This window comes from Homo sapiens, chromosome 20 (assembly GCF_000001405.40).
Source record: "Homo sapiens chromosome 20, GRCh38.p14 Primary Assembly".
Classification (NCBI taxonomy): domain Eukaryota; kingdom Metazoa; phylum Chordata; class Mammalia; order Primates; family Hominidae; genus Homo; species Homo sapiens.
The window spans coordinates 63775504-63793672 of NC_000020.11; the positions used below are offsets into that span (position 1 = coordinate 63775504).

An 18169-nucleotide genomic window follows, 5' to 3' on the forward strand; every position below is an offset into this window, starting at 1 on the left:
GAGAGGCCAGTCCAGGCTGTGACGCCGCATCCTCACCTCCCGCAACAGGGAGGTCAGCAGGCGGCCGAGCAGCAGGGACAGACCCTCAGCCTCATCTCATCTTGGCCCGGGACCTGCAACCCTCAGCCTTCAAAACCACACCAAAGCCAAGCGGCCCCCAGGGCCTGCACTTACGGGACAGCGAGTGGGCCCCTCTGGGCAGGTACTCGAACAGCAGGGAGCCGTCATCCCCCAGCACGTCGGCCTTCAGCGACAGCAGGCTGTTCTTACTCATGAGCGCCGCGCGCAGGTTGGCCACCGCGGTGGCCTGATGCAGGGCGTCGTCCTTCTCTGGGGTGAGGGGAGGGCCCAGATAGCTGGCTTCTCCTCCCAGGAGACCCTCCTCCACCTGTGCATAGAGCTCGGCCCTCTCTCCTCGGCTGTCGGAGCTGCTGGCTTCGGTGACGGACAGGTCCGCATCTGGGGACAGAGGGACACACGTCAGAAGACACGGGTCGTTCCCAGACTCTCCAAGTGGGACAGGCGACACATTTAGAAGGACAGCGACCAGCTTCTGCCTGAGCTACAGAGCAGCATCAAGTCCAGCCCACCCTGGGAGCCGGGCACCTGCCCCAGCAATGCAGCAGCCTCGGCCCAGCCCGGCCTTTCCTGCCCACCCAGGTCCCATGGCTGCGGTGGAGTCTCAGCCAAGGCTTTGGAGGACGGCTCAACTCAGAACAACGGGGTTGCCCTCCCTGGACGAGGCGCTGCAGACCTGGTACCTGCTCTGCTCCAGGGCCGAGGGCCTGAGAGTCAGAGGCTCCTGGGGCGGCAGTATTTCCATCTCGCAAAGACGAGGAGAGGCTCAAAATGGATCAATGACGTTAGAGCTAAATCTATAAAATTCTTAGAAGAAAATCCGCATGATCTCAGATTTGGCAATAGGTTCTTAGATACAAAACCAAGCACAAGCAACAAAATAAATTGGACTCATCAAAATTAAATGTCTGTGCTTCAAAGGATACTACCAAGAAAGTGACGCCGGGTGCGGTGGCTCAAGCCTGTGATCCCAGCACTCTGGGAGGCCGAGGCGGGCGGATCATCTGAGGTCAGGAGTTCAAGGCCAGCCTGGCCAACATGGTGAAACCCCATCTCTACTAAAAATACAAAAATTAGCCGGGCGTGGTGGCACGTGCCTGTAATCCCAGCTACTCAGTAGGCTGCGGCAGGAGAATCGCTTGAACCCAGGAGGTGGAGGTTGCAATGAGCCGAGATCACACCACTGCACTCTAGCCTGGGCGACAGAACAACGCTCTGTCTCAAAAAAAAAAAAAAATTGCAACCTATATATCTGATAATAAAAAGGCAAATACTGTAACTCAATATAAAAATGGGCAAAAAATCTTACTAGACATTTGTCCAAAGAAGATGTATAAATGGCCAAGACGCACAGGAAGAGATGCTCAGCATCACCCATCACTAAGGAAACGCAAAACACAACACGATTCCACCACACAATACGGTTCCAGCACACGCCACGGTTCCACCACACGCCACGGTTCCACCACACGCCACGGTTCCAGCACACGCCACGGTTCCACCACACGCCACGGTTCCAGCACACGCCACGGTTCCACCACACGCCACGGTTCCAGCACACGCCACGGTTCCAGCACACACCCACTGGGATGGCTGGATATAAAAAGGCCAGGCACCGTGGCTCACGCTTCCAGTCCCAACATTTTGGGAGGCTAAGACCGGAAGATCTATTGAGAACAGGAGTTCAAGACCAGCCTGGGCAACACAGCAGGACAAAAAGTTAAAATAAAACAAAATTAGCTGAGTGTGGTGGGTTGTGCCTGTGGTCCTAGCTACTCAGGAGGCTGCGGCGGGAGGATCACTTGAGCCTGAGAGGTTGAGGCTGTGGTGAGCTGTGATCGAGCCACTGTACTCCAGTCTGGGTGACAGAGTGAGACCCTATCTCAAAAACAACAACAAAAAAGATCAGATAATATTGGCAAGGATGGGAAGAAATCAGAACCCTGGAACCTTGCTGGTAAGAGTGTAACATGGTGCCCTCCTGCGGAGCAGGTCGGCAGGTCCTCACAACATCAGGTACAGGAATCACCACGGGGCCCAGCAGTTCCACATGTACGCATGCAGATACCCACGAGAAATGAAGACACAAAAGCTCACAGAAAACCTCGTCCAGGACGCGCGTAGCACGTTATCCATAACAGCCAAAAGGTGGAACAGCCAACAAGTCCATCGATGGACGAATGGATAAACATAACAGGTCCATCCCCACAATGGAATATTATGTGGCCATGAAAAGGCATGAAGAACAGACACAGGCCACCACACAGAGGAGCCGTGAAAACATGCTCAGCGGACGAAGCCAGACACAGAACCACGCAGAGGAGCCTTGAAAACTGCTGAGTGAACAAAGCCAGACACAGAAGGCCACATGCCATTTCATTTCCATTAAATATCCAGAACAGGCAAATCAAGACAGAAAGTAGGTTTGTGGCTGCAAAAAGGGGCTGGGGAGGGGTCTCGGATGAGGGCTAAGTGGTGCAGGGTTTCCCTCTGAGCCGAGGAAAATGTTCTAAGGGGACTGTGCTGATGGCTACAGGATGCTGTGAATATACCATACCAAAAACCTCTGAACTGCAGACTTTAAATGGGTGAGTGGGGTGTGAATCATCTCTCAGTAAAGCTTCTATTTAACAACAACAACAAAAACAACAAAAGGTGACGACTTGAGTCATGAATTCAACGGATTCCTCCGAGTGTCAGCTCAGGCCAGCCAGGGCTTTGTGGAGTACCCTCCCTCTAGTGGGGCTGTATGCACGATATCAAAACACCCCCAGAACACGCTGAGCGATGATGATTTGCAGATATTTTCCCACAGCAAGAGAATGGATTTTCCACCGTGGTCGTTGACAGGAATCGGGATCAGAACCACAGAAACACAGGGGCATGGGGCAGGGGGCACTTGGAGCAGGGGCAGAGGTGACGTCTGCAAACACCCCTGGAACAAACATGCACACGTGAGGCCCAGCAGCTGAGAGCTGGGTGTGGCAGGTGGGCAGGGCCCCCGTCAGGCAGCACACGGGGTGAGTCCAGCCTGGCAGGAGCGGGTGGGAGTCTCCAGGGACAGTGACATTCGGACCGTCGAGCTACCTATGACTTCTTCTGGAGGCCTCTAAGGGATATGTTTCCAAACTCTACTCTTTTTCCAAACTATACTCCTTTTTATATTTTTTTACAAATCCCTCGATGACACATCATATTAATTGTGCATTTCTAGGAACTAAATATACAGGTTATATCCAAACTTATGTTAAGGCTTTGTCTTAGCTTGGGATGCCATGACAAAATACCACAGGCAGGGCGGCTTAACAACGAAAATTAGTTTCCTCACGCTCTGGAGACTGGGAAGTCCAAGGTCAAGGTGCCAGCAGATCTGCTGTCTGGTGAGGCCCCTCCTGACCTGCAGATGGCGGCAGGTGAGCCCTGGGGGCCCCTCCTCAGAGTCTGGGAGCAGAGTGGGTGGTGGGTGCTGTGTGCTCACGAGCGTGTTCAGGGATCAGGGCCCCGCCTGTGACTTCACTTTATCACTTCCTTCAAGGCCCTCCCCAGACGCAGCCACACGGGGGCTGGGGTTTCAACACATGAGTGTGGGGGTGCACATTCAGCTCATAACAGGCTTCAAAAAAAATCACCCAATTTTATTTTATTTAATTAATTAATTAATTTATTTATTTATTTTGAGACGGAGTTTCGCTCTTGTTGCCCAGGCTGGAGTGCAATGGCATGATCTCAGCTCACCGCAACCTCCGCCTCCCGGCTTCAAGTGATTCTCCTGCCTCAGCCTCCTGAGTAGCTGGGATTACAGGTGCGTGCCACCACGCCGGCTAATTTTTTTTTTTTTTTTTTTTTTTTTTTTTTTGAGACGGAGTCTTGCTCTGTCACCCAGGCTGGAGTGCAGTGGCATGATCTTGGCTCACTGCAAGCTCCGCCTCCCAGGTTCACGCCATTCTCCTGCCTCAGCCTCCTGAGTAGCTGGGACTACAGGGCGCCTGCCACCACACCTGGCTAATTTTTTGTATTTTTAGTAGAGACGGGGTTTCACCGTGTTAGCCAAGATGGTCTCGATCTCTTGACCTCGTGATTCGCCCCCCTCAGCCTCCGAGAGTGCTGGGATTACAGGCCTGTGAGCCACCGCGCCCGGCCGCTAATTTTTGTATTTTTAGTAGAGACGGGGTTTCACCACATTGGTCAGGCTGGTCTCAAACTCCCAACCTCAGGTGATCTGCCCACCTCAGACTCCCAAAGTGCTGGGATTACAAGCATGAGCCACCATGCCTGGCCAAAATCACCCAATTTTAAAGCCAAATTTTAAATCTAAATTATTGTAACAAATCAAGGTGAAAAACACATAAAAGAAATCAGGATAAGCTGAAAGAACTCTCCCTTGTGTGAAATGCTAAAATTTGGGTTTCCGCCAGGCACAGTGTCTCATGCCTGTAATCCCAGCATTTTGGGAGGCCGAGATGGGTGGATCATGAAGTCAGGAGTTTGAGACTAGCCTGGCCAGCCCGGTGAAACCCCGTCTCTACTAAAATACAAAACATTAGCTAGGCATGGCGGTGCGTGCTTGTAATCTCAGCTACTCGGCAAGCTGAGGCAGGAAAATCGCTTGAACCAGGGAGACAGAGGTTGCGGTGAGCCGAGATCACACCATTGCACTCCAGCCTGGGCAACAAGAGTGAAACTCCATCTCAAAAAAAAAAAAGACAGATAAAAGAAATTCTCATTAATTTTATGTATATAGTAGTTAGCAAGGTAACTCAATGGATAAAAGACAGGTTTCTTAGCAAGCAGCACTGGAACAACCTTATAATCCTATGTAAAAAGTGAACCTCAAGCTGATCTCACGCCACATACAAAAAAACCAACTTGAATCATGGAGCTATGCGTTATACTTAAATTGATAAAAACTCAAGAAAAACCATAGGAGAAAGTCTTTGTTGGCTGGGCACGGTGGCTCATGCCTGTAATCCCAGCACTCTCGGAGGCTGAGGCGGGCGGATCACGAGGTCAGGAGTTCAAGACCATCCTGGCTAACATGGTGAAACCCCGTCTCTACTAAAAATACAAAAAATGAGCCGGGCGTGGTGGCGGGCGCCTGTAGTCCCAGCTACTCGGGAGGCTGAGGCAGGAGAATGGTGTGAACCCAGGAGGCAGAGCTTGCAGTGAGCCGAGATTGCACCACTGCACTCCAGCCTGGGCGACAGAATGATACTCCGTCTCAAAAAAAAAGGATCCTCCTGAAGAGACACTGTTAAATGAAAAAAGGAGGCCATGCACAGTGGCTCACGCCTGTAATCCCAACATTTTGGGAGGCCAAGGCGGGTGGATCATGAGGTCAGGAGTTCAAGACCAGCCTGACCAACATGGTGAAACCCCATCTCTACTAAAAAAAAAAAAAAAAATACAAAAATTAGCTGGGCGCGGTGGCGGGTGCCTGTAATCCCAGCTATTCAGGAGGCTGAGGCAAGAGAATGGCGTGAACCCAGGAGGCAGAGTTTGCAGTGAGCCAAGATGGTGCCACTGCACTCCAGCCTGGGTGGCAGAGCAAGACTCTGCCTCAAAAAAAAAAAAAAAAAAAAAAAGAAAGAAAAAAGGAGCCAAAGGCCAAGAGAAAATATTTTCAAAGCACATACTTGATGAAGGACTTGGAACGAGAACACCTAGGAACTCTCACCACTCAGTAATAAAAGATGGGCAGAAGATCTGAACAGACACTTCCCCAAGGAAGAGACCCAGATGTGGAGCAGGTGCCCGATGCTCATCACCGCCAGCTGAGCCACGACACTCACTCGGCCAGAGCCTCACGGTCACCACGTAGACAGCCCAATCGAAACACGGCAAAAAGACCTGGACAGACACTTTACCAAAAAAGATATATGAATGGCATCATCCGCCATCAAAGAAATGCAAATCAAAGACCATAGAGAAGCCAGGTGTGGCGTCTCACGTCTGTCATGCCAGCACTGTAGGAGGCCGAGGCAGGCGGATCACCTGAGGTCAGGAGTTCGAGACCAGCCTGGCCAACACGGCCAAACCCCGTCTCTACTAAAAATACAAAAAATCAGCCAGGGGTGGTGCTGGGTGATTGTAATCCCAGGTACTCGGGAGGCTGAGGCAGGAGAATTGCTTGAACCTAGGAGGCAGAGGTTGTAGTGAGCCAAGATCGTGCCATTGCACTCCAGCCTGGACAACAGAGCGAGACTCTGTCAAAAAAAAAATAGAGGCCGGGCGCGGTGGCTCACGCCTGTAATCCCAGCACTTTAGGAGGCTGAGGTGGGCAGATCACAAGGTCAGGAGATCGAGACCATCCTGACTAACACGGTGAAACCTCGTCTCTACTAAAAATACAAAAAAAATTAGCCAGGCGTGGTGGTGGGTGCCTGTAGTCTCAGCTACTCAGGAGGCTGAGGCAGGAGAATGGCATGAACCGGGGAGGCGGAGCTTGCAGTGAGCCGAGATGGCGCCACTGCACTCAGGCCTGGGTGAAAGAGCAAGACTCCGTCTCAAAAAAAAAAAAAAGAAAAGAGGCGTGGCGATTTTCACCAAAATCCCCGGCTACTGTATGCAAACCCCCAGTGGTGAGCCAATGACTCCTGCAGAGACGCCCAGGCTGCAACCCCCGAGCCGTGGTTTTGCCACCTTGTGGCAGAACGACTCCGCAGACCTGATTCGGTTCAGGATCTCACGATGAGTCCTGGATGAGCCACGTGGGCCCTAAACGGACCCACCAGGGCCCCGTCAGCAGAGAAGGAGGCAGGAGGGTGACAGAAGCGAGGATGGGAAGGGGCAGGAATGATGTCGGGCCACGAGCCAAGGATGCTATGGCTTCCAGAAGCCAGAAGAGGCACATGGACTCCCCTGGAGCTCCAGGGGATGCAGCCCTGCCGGCTGCTTCAGACTTCAGAGAACCGTGAGACAAAACGTGCATTGCTCTGACAATAAGTCTGGTCATTTATTACAGCAGCCATCAGGAGCCAGGTGCTTGCCAAAAGCACAAAAGCCACAAAAGACACCTGCAGGAGAGCCTCACAGCCCTGAGCCTGACACCCAAACGCCCACATCCAGACAACCACAGAACAGGCTGCAGCCACGCCCCATGCCCCACGACCCACGCCCCACACCCACAGGTGAGGAGCAGTGTTGCTGCTGGCTGCGGCCGTGAGTCCCTCCCACACCAGGACAAGGAGCAAAGCCAGAGATGCAAGGACACCCTGCCGAGTGGCTGCGTTAAAAGTTCAGTTGGCCAGGCAGTGGCTCACACCTGTGATCCCAGCACCATGGGAGGCCCAGGCGGGAGGATCGCTAAGCCCAGGAGTTTGAGACTGGCCTGGGCAACATAGTGAGATCCCGTCTCCCGTCATAGTGAGATCTACATCTCTATAAAAAACATTTTTAAAAATTAGCCAGGCGTGGTGGCGCACGCCCATAGTCCCAGCTACTCAGGAGGCTGAGGTGGGAGGATCACCTGAGCCCAGGAGGTTGAGGCTGCCGTGAGCCGAGATTGTACCACTGCACTCCAGCCTGGGCAAGAGAGTGAGACCTTGTCTTAAAAAAAACAAAAAACACAGCTGGGCGTGGTGGTTCATGCCTGTAATCCCAGCACTTTGGGAGGCTGAGGTGGGTGGATCACAAGTTCAAGAGATTGAGACCAGCCTGGCCAACATGGCAAAACCCCGTCTCTACTAAAAATACAAAATATCAGCTGGGCGTGGTGGCACGTGCCTGTAGTCCCAGCTACTCGGGAGGCTGAGGCAGGAGAATCACTTGAACCCGAGAGGCAGAGATTGCAGTGAGCCGAGATCGCGCCATTGCACTCCAGCCTGGCGACCGAGCGAGACTCCGTCTCAAAACAAAAACAAAAACAAAAAATACTCTGTCCAGTGCCGAGTGCAGAATTTTTTTAAAAATAAAACAAAAACAAAAAACAGCACGTTCCTGTGAAGGGTGTTATTGTCTCTGTCCCCGTCACCAGCTGCTCCCCAACAGACTGTAATGTGATCAAAGCTGATTGCAGGTAATTCTGTTCATACCTGAAAGCAAAAACATCTAGAGAAGGCGCAGCTGAGTTCTCAAGCTTCCCAGGACAGGACTGAACAGGGGAGTGGATTAAAAGAGGCCAAGCCAAGCATCTCCCGAGCAGCTGTGGGATCGGGGTGCGGAGCCGGACGCCCTTCCCACCCCACTACTGACCAAAGCACATGATGTCATCTTTTGGTTGAAACCCTTCCACCCAAAAAATAAAAAGACCATCCCAAGTGCAGGAAATTTTCTTCAACAGAACAATCAGATCTGCCGTGCTGCTGAAACAGGCTGTGAAAGGTGTTCAGGAGGCGAAACATTGTTCAGGAGGCCAGGTGGGGGAACCTCACATTCCGTCGGGCACCAGGAGGGCCGAGATGCCACGCACACTCAGGACAGGAGTCCCTGCAGGGACGTAACCTCAGAGGTAACTCCCTGCCCTCGTGTGATCAGGACGGCTGAGACCGTGGTGGGGGTCCTCCTCCCCAACCTTCGTGGAGAGAAAGAGGGAACACCAGAAGGGGACACAGCCACGGCCCCCTCCGCTCACCAGTTCCTGCTTTATCCCCAGCAAAGAGCTCTGGGGGCGGTGAGGAGCTGCTGTCAGCACAAGGGAGAGAAACCCTGAGACCCGCCGGAGGCAGGCCGGCCTGGTCCAAGAAGCAGCTCGAAGACCACCCTACCCTGAGAGCTGGGACCCTCACTCCCCTCCCGGAGCAGACAGGAGGCTTGCAGGCAGTGCTAGGCACCCGAGAGGCCATTGTCCCCCATCTGGAGCTCCCGCAGTTCTGATGTACGCTTAAAAATCCCAACATGTCAAGCTCCCACCTCACCAGGGTTCAAGTACACACTTCACAGAACACACAGATCCTCCTGTAGCAGCACCGCTTAGGCATGTGTGGGGCCATTTAGTTGGGGCACCTGGGCTGTTTCTTTACCATCTTCTCATGCAGTAGCTACACATCCACTTTGTCAAGGCCTCACCAGTCACCTCTCAGGTCCTTACTGTGCTCCCTCCGCAGATGAGAAGGAGACGCCAGGGCCTGGGGAGGCACGGGCCTGCCTGCCTGCCCCATAGCTGCAAACATGAATCTGAACATTTTAATGCTATTTCCCACAAGCTCTCATAGAAGTGAACTGCTGTAACTCAGAAATAAATTTCAAGGGATACTGTTTCTTGGAAGCTGCTCAGTTAGAATGAATTTGGCCTCCCTGCCTAGAAAATCACTCTTAAAAGCAAACAGGCCTCAGGGTCACCAGGGGCCGGGATGATGCACAGAGGGGTTGGGGCATCGGCGTCGAATGATCCACGGTGACCACTTGACATGTGTCCTTAGAAAAGAGACTTTGTGGCCGGGCGTGGTGGCTCACGCCTGTCATCCCAGCACTTTGGGAGGCCGAGGCAGGCGGATCACGAGGTCAAGAGATCGAGACCGTCCTGGCCAACATGGTGAAACCCCGTCTCTACTAAAAATACAAAAATTAGCCGGGCGTGGTGGTGGGCACCTGTAGTCCCAGCTACTCGGGAGGCTGAGGCAGGAGAATGATGTGAACCTGGGAGGTGGAGGTTGCGGTGAGCTGAGATTGCACCACTGCACTCCAGCCCGGCAACAGAGCGAGACTCAAAAAAAAAAAAAAAGAAAAGAAAAGAAAAAGAAAGAAGGAAAAGGGACTTTGTGGCCCGGCACACTGGCTCACGCCTGTAATCCCAGCACTTTGGGAGGCTGAGGCGGGCGGACCGCTTGAGGTCAGGAGTTCGAGACAAGCCTGGCCAATATGGTGAAACCCCGTCTCTACTAAAAATACAGAAATTAGCCGGGCGTGGTCACGGGAGCCTGTAATCCCAGCTACTCGGAGGCTGAGGCAGGAGAATCACTTGAACCCAGGAAGCGGAGGCTGCAGTGAGTCGAGATCACACCACCGCACTCCAGCCTGGGTGACAGTGACGCTCTGTCTCAAAAATAAAAAAAATTTAAAAAAGGGCCTTTGCTTCTATAAATGGGATGAAAATTAAAAATCCTCTTCTCTAAGATAGAATAAATCTTTAATGGAAACAAACTGACCTCCATGGGATCATGATCTACTTCCAAACCCCAAGCTTCCAAATCCCAGCCTGAGGGCTCAGACGGAGGACGCAGCTCAGGGAGTCACTGGCCGCCACAGCGTGGGCAGAACCATCCTCCATCCTCACACAGCTCACAGCCTTGTGTCCTCATCTTAGCAACTCGGAATAATCTAATGGAAGAGTTTCACAGTTGCCTTGGAAACCCAAGGGATTTAAGACTCTAACAAAAGTACACAGCCAAAATCACTTGTTGGATTCTAAAAACACCTTCTGCTCGACAACTGCATTTAAAGCATTCAGCCCACAGGCTTAAGGAGTGCACTATTTCTCAGTGCCTGCATCGACTCTCATAATACAAAGGCCTCCAGCACGGGCACCTGCCAGCGAGTTACGTGCACGCACAGGGAGGTGGCCTGGGACCACTGGGAGGGGCCTCGCTGTGCTGACAACGGACCCTGCAGCGCATCTGTAAACATCAGAATAAACCCCCCAAAGCCGTGTCTCTTGCCAGGGACCACTGCTTCTCAGATTTTAGTTGGAGCTAGTGGAAGATTATAAACAGTTACAAGCAGATGGAAAGGCCACTGGCCCTGACCTGCTGCCTGTACACTCTCCACACGCACAGCAGCACATAGAGAAACGATTTTCCCAACTGCTAATGTCTGGAGACATTTTTGGTTGTACCAACGGGGGATCCAAAGGCAGGTGCTCCTGGCATCTGTGGGTGGAGGCCACGGCTGCTGCTAACATCCTGCAGTACCCAGGACAGCCTCACGATGGAGCACAACTCAGCCCGAGGCTGAGTTAAACCAACTGCTGTTTTTTGTTTGTTTTGAGGTTTTTTGATTTGTTTTGTTTTGTTTTGAGACAGGGTCTCAACCCTGTCTCCAGGCTGGAGTGCAGTGGCGCGATCTCAGCTCACCGCAACCTCCGCCTCCCTGGTTCAAGAGATTCTCCTGCCTCAGCTTCCTGAGCAGCTGGGACTACAGGCGCGCACCACCACGCCCAGCTAACTTTTGTATATTTAGTAGAGACGGGGTTTCACCATGTTGGCCACGATGGTCTCGATCTCCTGACCTTGTGATCCGCCCGCCTTGGCCTCCCAAAGTGCTGGAATTACAGGCGTGAGCCACCCCGCCCGGCCTCGGATAACTTTTGTATTAGAAATGGGATTTCACTACTTTGCCCAGGATAGTCCCAAACTCCTGGCCTCAAGGGATCCTCATGCCTCGGCCTCCCAAATTGCCTCCAAAAGGGATTTTGGGCCTGAGCGACTGCACGTGGTCACCAACTTTTACTGAACATCCAGGGTCTGGCCGTAGCTCAGTGCAGGACGCACAGCAACAACAGATGAGAATGAATAAAATCTACATTGTGTCAAAGTAGAACAGCATTTACCCGCAGGTGGGGTAGAGGCAAGAGGAAGGTACTGTATGACGGATACAGTTTCCCTTTGGGATGATGGAAAAGTTGTGATCGCAGAACTTCATGCGCCACAGAAGGGCATTTTGGTCAGGGATGGACCACAGATAACCACTGTGGTCCCGTAGATTAGAACGCAGCCGGGAAATTCCTGTCACCTGGTGGCGTGACAGGAATAGCCATCGCCATCCTAGCCATCGCCATCCTAGCCATCGCCACATCCTAGCACAACTTTAAAAAATCAGTTTAGTGTAGGCCACGCCAAGTGTTTATAAAGTCTGCAGCAGTGCACAGTTCTGTCCTCAGCCTTCATGTTCCCTCAGCACTCGCTCACCCAGGGCAACCTGCAGTGCAGCAAGCTCTGTGCATGGCAGGGGCCCTACCCAGGCATGCCGTTATCTTGTATACCCTATTTTTACAGCACCCTTTCTATGTTTAGACACACAAACACTTCCCATGGTGCCACAGCTGCCTGCAGTGCTCAGCACCGTAACTAACACTGGCAGGTTTGTGCTGGGCCTATAACCGGCTGCACTTTCTAGTTTTGTGACGGGCGCTCCATGACGCTCCCAGAGCAACAGAATCGCCTAGCGATGCGTTTCTTGGAACCTATCCCTGTCATCAAGCAACGCGTGACTTTAATGCCAGTGAAATGTACATTTGAAAATGGTTAAAATGGTAAGGTTTACATTATGTATGTTCTACCACAATGATAAAAGTTAACGTATTATCGAGCTGTGTTCACTCCCGGCTCTCGCAGATCTCTCAGCGACGGAGAGGAGGGACCAGGGTCAGGAGAAGAGGCCACACCCGCCCTGCCCAGGAAGCCCTCCAGCCAGGGGGGCAGGCAGCGTCTCCCACTGCGCCACCCACACACGGCATCTGCGACATTTTTCAGGGCCTCCCACCCTGCGGCTTGCTGTCTTTCGTCCTCCTCTGTCCACTCACGCCCTCCCACGTTCATTTCCAGGCTTCATCCTGGAGGAACCTCCCCACGGGCAGCACCTGCTAGGACACCTCCATTTCTTCTTTCCTTTAATTAAGAGACAGGGTCTGGCTCTGTCGTCCAGGCTGGAGGGCAGCAGTGCAATCACGGCTCACTGCAGCCTGGACATCTTGGGCTCAAGCCATCCTCCCGCCTCAGCCTCCCAAGTAGCTGAAGTACAGGCACAGGCAACACCACACCCAACTCCAAATATCCTTCCTTGACTTGGGCCACAGCCTGGGGAAAAGAGCAGAGGCCAAATCCCCACAATTATTATTAATATCACATGCCCAGCACCATGAATGGTGGCCAGTATTCAGCAAACATTTAATTTATTATTTACAAATATGGAAGACACATAAGGGACAACCATTCAGGTGGTGACGTCCAGCTTCAACAGAGCTAAGCTCAGAGCCCCTTTGCAGTGAGTAATAGGCAGGACCCAAGGGGAGACCCTGTATCATGAGGTGTAAGAAAAAACATCAGCCAGGCGCGGTGGCTCACACCTGGAATCCCAGCACTTTGGGAGGCTGAGGTGGGTGGATCACCTGAAGTCAGGAGTTCGAGACCATCCTGGCCAACATGGTGAAACCCTGTCTCTACTGAAAATACACAAATTATCTGGGCGTGGTGGCACGTGCCTGTAATCCCCAGCTAATCGGAGGCTGTGGCAGGAGAATCACTTGAATCCGGGAGACAGAGGTTGCAGTGAGCCGAGATCACGTCACTGCACTCCAGCCTGGGCAACACGGTGAGACTGTCTCTTTTTTTTTTTTTTTTGAGATGGAGTTTCGCTCTTGTTGCCCAGGTTGGAGTGCAATGGCGCGATCTCGGCTCACCACAACCTCCGCCTCCCAGGTTCAAGCGATTCTCCTGCCTCAGCCTCCCAAGTAGCTGGGATTACAGGCTACTTTTCTGTATTTTTAGTAGAGACGGGGTTCTCCATGTTGGTCAGGCTGGTCTTGAACTCCCGACCTCAGGTGATCCACCCACCTCAGCCTCTCAAAGTGCTGGGATTACAGGCGTGAGCCACCACACCTGGCTGAGACTGTCTCAAAAAAAAAAAGAAAAAGAGAAAAGAGAGGAAACAAACATCGCCTGTTGGCTTCAACAGCAGAACCCACAGGTGTCAGCAGACACAAAATCCACTTGCCGGGAAAGGCTGCTTCTTGGCTGTAACCTCTCAGGTCCCCAGGTCAAGGCAAGCTGAGCCACCAAGGACAAAGTACATTCACATGGTGTTTCCATTCAACATTCACTATAGCAACAGTGACCAAAGGCAGAAGTCCAGGATGAAAAGCCTGGAGCTGAAGGCCACCCTGGCAAGCGGCCAGTCGAGTTACCCCAGTCAGGGCTCATGGGAGGGTCCCACAGGCCAGGGGAAGCCGACCCTGCAGGCCACGCCCTCACCAGGGCTGAGGGGTCCCCTCCCGGTGTCACCCACCCCCCGGCTCACGTCCCTGTGGCTTCAGAGGGGCCCAGCCCAGGCAGCCCCCGTGTGTGGGTGACACCAGTGCCGTGCTGATGGGGACAGATACACAGGGTCTCCAAGGGCCCTGGTGATGCCCTGCCCTTTGAGATGCATTGGCTGCATTCCCAGCGGTCACGACAACCTCCTGTAAGAGGAAGTGACCCTAGAAAGCCACCAGTGTGAGCCTGGACATGCGTCACTGCCTCCGCACAGCACGCGGCCGTGAGGCCTGGACACACTGGGGCAGCTGAGCCCCCGTAACGAGTGAAAGGCTTACTTGAGTCTCGGCTGCTGAACGGCCACCCCGACGTCGGCAGGAAGGACGGCACCGGGGAGCTGGCCCGGCTGTCATCTTCCACCTGCTGTGTGATGTGCCGGACGGTCTCTTTGTTTTTCCGATTCTTCCTTCGGCCCGTGGGCTGCCAGGCATCACCAGCACTCTGCTCTGAGAAAGAGTTCTGTACTGCACCGTCCTTGGCAGAAGGCAGCTCGCTCCCTCCGTACTGAGACGGTGAAACCTGCTCTTCCTTGATGCGCAGAGGCCCGTAGCCCACGTCTCCAGGCCATAGAGGCTGTGAAGAAACATCATCAGGGCCATCGGCCTTGGGCTCCTGATCCTCTTTCCCGTAGCTGCTCCCTCCGTCGTGACAGCTGGCGATGGCCGAGTCTCCGGAAGAATTGGCAGGACTCGTTCGCCGTGCCAGCCACGGGGAGATGCTCCTCCCAGCCATCACGGCCGAGATGAGAGCTTCCGTGCTGCTGCTGGACGAGGCGCCGATCTCGAACTCCGCAAGCTCATCTGAGGCGTCCGACTTGATGCTGATGTCCAGCGCCGCCTTGATGAAGTCGTGGCAGGCTTGCACGATGTCCGTCATCTGCAGGAAGCTGGCGGCTGACATCACCTCGATGACGTTCCTGCTGGTGAGCGCCAGGTGCGCTGAGTACATGAAGTCGATGATGGCCTTGAAGCCCTGGGCCGTGACGATGTCCAGGTGCGTGACCGTGGCCTGCTCCGACGTCTTCTGCACCTGGCAGTAGAGCGTCTTGAAGTAGCGGCTGCTGCCCAGCAGGACGTTCTTGTGCGCCTTGAAGACCTTGCCCTCCACGACCACGCAGACGTCGCACAGGACGCCGTGCTGCCTCTGCTCGTTGAGCTCCCGCAGCAGGTGCCGGTAGTGGGACGTGATTTCCATATCTTCCTTTCGGTTGTTCATTTGGAAGCCCTGGTGTCGCCTCTTCTACAGACTCTGTGGAGGTAAGAACAAGAGTTACCCAAGCTCAGCACAGACAGAGGCCGTGAGAGGACGCCGGGCGGGGCGCAGGAGGGCCATGGGGCACAGAGTGCGGCCAGTGGGAGGACGACCCACGCGAGAGCCCATCCACAGGTGTGCAGCGGGAGGCCTGTGTCTCCGCCTGAAGCAGGGCAGCAAACACCGGAGGGCACCAGTGCGTCCAGGGTGGGACGTCTGCCACGTGTTTCCGTGCTCGAGGCTAATGGGGTTCTGAACAGAATCCCACATACGGCAACTGGCATATCCCAGGAACGATGAGAACACCCAGCCGTGGCTGAGCAACTCTTACCCAAACTGAGAACTCGGTTAAATGACCTACACTGTGGCCATCCCTCACGCTTGAAGAAACATTCTTAAGGAAAAAGAATAAAACTTCCAGGCTGGGCGCGGTGGCTCATGCCTGTAATCCCAGCAATCTGGGAGGCCGAGGAGGGTGGAGCACAAGGTCAGGAGATCGAGACCATCCTGGCCAACATGGTGAAACCCTGTCTCTACTAAAAATACAAAAAAAGCAGCTGGGCATGGTGGCGGGAGCCTGTAGTCCCAGCTATTCAGGAGGCTGAGGCAGGAGAATGGCGTGAACCCGGGAGGCGGAGCCTGCAGTGAGCCGAGATCGCGCCAGTGCACTCCAGCCTGGGCGACAGGGCGAGACTCCATCTCAAAAAAAAAAAAAAAAAAAAAAAACTTCTTACACAAAAAACCACAGAATAAGGAATTAAAGCATTCATAGCCTTAGTCCTGAAAATTTCCAAAACTCTGAGCTCAAACGAGCTGAAGTCTTCTGGAGGAGGGAGGCTTCCTGGCTTAGGCCTGGGTCCCTGCCCAGCACTGGGACAGGGCAGGAGGGAGCTCAGGCCCTGCGGCTGCCAGCGCCCTGGACGTCTGAGACACGACTGGTCTCTGGGTCCCCCTCATCAGAAGACAGCCCTGCCTCACAGAGTCACAGGACACACAGAATCATTTCTGAATTGGGTACACCCCGTCCCGGAGTCTCTCCTGTCTCTCCTTAGACTCAGGGATGTGAGTCCTCCGCCTGTTCTCGTCTGCTGGGGCCGCCCTATCAAGCCTGGGAGGCTCAAACAACAGAAACGTATTCTCAAGTCCAGAATCAGGATGTCGGCCGAGCTGGTGCCTGTTCCAGCCCCTCCCCCAGCCGGCGTTCTGTGTGGAGGCATCGCACGAGCTCTGCCTCTGTCTCAACACGGCTTCTCCCGGTGTGCACGTCTGTGTCCAAATGTCACCCTTTCACAAGGACACCAGTCGTCCGGGAGTAGGGGCCCACCCCCACGGCCTCATCTTAATTAATCATATCCACAGTGACCCTGTTTCCAATAAGGTCACATTCTGGGGTCCTAGGGGGCTAGAACTTCCACAGACAAATCGTAAGGGGACACGTTCACCCCACAGCCCTGCCTGGGAAAGAAACAGTGGTTGGGTCTCTCCCGTTACAAACCCCATTCTCCAGCTGATAAGTCAAGTAGGACTCACCTGAAATGCTAAATGTGTTTAATAGGAGAAAACTAAGCGAGCGTGGGAGTATTACATGTCCTTCCGGCAAGGAGCCCCCACATGCAGCCCTCATGGGGGACGGGGTCGGGGGCTCAGCAGTTTTGTATCACACACTCCTGGGCTCCGACTGGTTACGACATACACACCTTCACTTAGTCATGACAGAATATTTTCTTCTTTTTTTTTTTTTGAGACGGAGTCTCGCTCTGTCCCCCAGGCTGGAGTGCAGTGGTTTGATCTCCGCTCACTGCAAGCTCCGCTCCCAGGTTCATGCCATTCTCCTGCCTCAGCCTCCCGAGTAGCTGGGACTACAGACACCCGCCACCACGCCTGGCTGACATTTTTGTATTTTTAGGAGAGATGGGGTTTCACCATTTTGGCCAGGCTGGTTTCAAACTCCTGACCTCAGATGATCCACCCGCCTCGGCCTCTCAAAGTGCTGGGATTACAGGCGTGAGCCACCACGCCCAGCCTAAAATGTCCTGAGAAAAGTAATTATTCTGTCTCACATTTCACAGGCCGGGAAGATGAGGTAGAAAGGAGAGAGAAGCTTTTGTGCCTGTCTCTGCCTTCAGGGTCCTGGGCCATCCCCTCCTTGGATGGTGTGGGGTTCCCAGGCCCCCACAGCCGGTGTTGCCTGCCGGGAGACGCGCTGCAGAAGACCGGGCCCAGCCTCCCCTTCACTTCCTGCCCGCCGGGCACGAGGGCTGTGACGGCGGTGACCGCTGACCATTACAGGAAGGGCCTCAAGCCCCCAAGATGCCAAGACCAGGCCCCCGCCTGACTCCAGGTGCTGCCTCAACGGCGGCAGAGAACAAAGGCCCCATCCCGCCCCACACTGGCCCCGGGCTTGAGGGCTGGAGGCAAACGCGTGTGGGTGCGAGCAGAACAAGGAGCTGCCGAAAAGGAAGAGATGACATTCGGAGCAGGCTGTGGGGAGGGGGTCATGTGCTGAGGCCGCCCAGTGGTTCTTGACCGGAGAGCATCTCAGAGCCCCAGGAGGGCAGGGCAGGTGTCCCACCAGGCACAGCTTCACCCAGATTAACTAGGCATCGGGGAAGTGACCAAAACACACTTCAAACCCAGGAAAACAACCATTCAATCCCGAAGCTGGGGGGTCCACAAGTGACACCTGGCTCCGGGCCACGTGATGGGAACCGTCAAAAGCTCCAGGCACCCTGTATCCAGGCTAGGAAGCTGACCGATCATATTTAATTTCCTACGTGAATAAAACGTCTCTTTATTCATCAGGAAAACAGAGCCTGTAAGAATTAAGGAGAACTATGAAAACAACAACAAAAAAAATGCCAGAGATTTTATAGAAGCAG

At 53.8% G+C, this 18169-nt stretch overlaps 1 protein-coding gene across 12 annotated transcripts in view, besides 2 other annotated features; it reads right to left on the bottom strand.

Annotated features, from left to right (window-relative positions):
• The window catches only part of ZBTB46 (zinc finger and BTB domain containing 46), a 90226-nt gene that overhangs the window by 31834 nt on the left and 40223 nt on the right, over window positions 1-18169 (bottom strand). For all 12 annotated transcript variants that reach the window (XR_936500.3, XR_001754167.2, XM_011528548.3 and 9 more), the window contains exons 2-3: window positions 14318-15287; window positions 175-459 (exon numbers count right to left, since the gene is read on the bottom strand). Coding sequence is in view for 10 of the 12 variants with exons in the window: in XM_011528548.3 (XP_011526850.1) it covers window positions 175-459; window positions 14318-15254 (1222 nt within the window). In the remaining 2 variants the exon portion in view is untranslated. The remainder of the gene's footprint in view (window positions 1-174; window positions 460-14317; window positions 15288-18169) is intronic.
• Window positions 2417-2954: an enhancer, noted in NCBI's record as "H3K27ac-H3K4me1 hESC enhancer chr20:62409273-62409810 (GRCh37/hg19 assembly coordinates)". NCBI's record gives its function as "activates a minimal SCP1, AML or CMV promoter by ChIP-STARR-seq in primed H9 embryonic stem cells {active_cell/tissue: H9 hESC(primed)}" and the evidence as "EXISTENCE:reporter gene assay evidence [ECO:0000049][PMID:30033119]".
• Window positions 6837-6896: an enhancer, noted in NCBI's record as "active region_18251". NCBI's record gives its function as "activates an Ori minimal core promoter by ATAC-STARR-seq in GM12878 lymphoblastoid cells {active_cell/tissue: GM12878}" and the evidence as "EXISTENCE:reporter gene assay evidence [ECO:0000049][PMID:35858748]".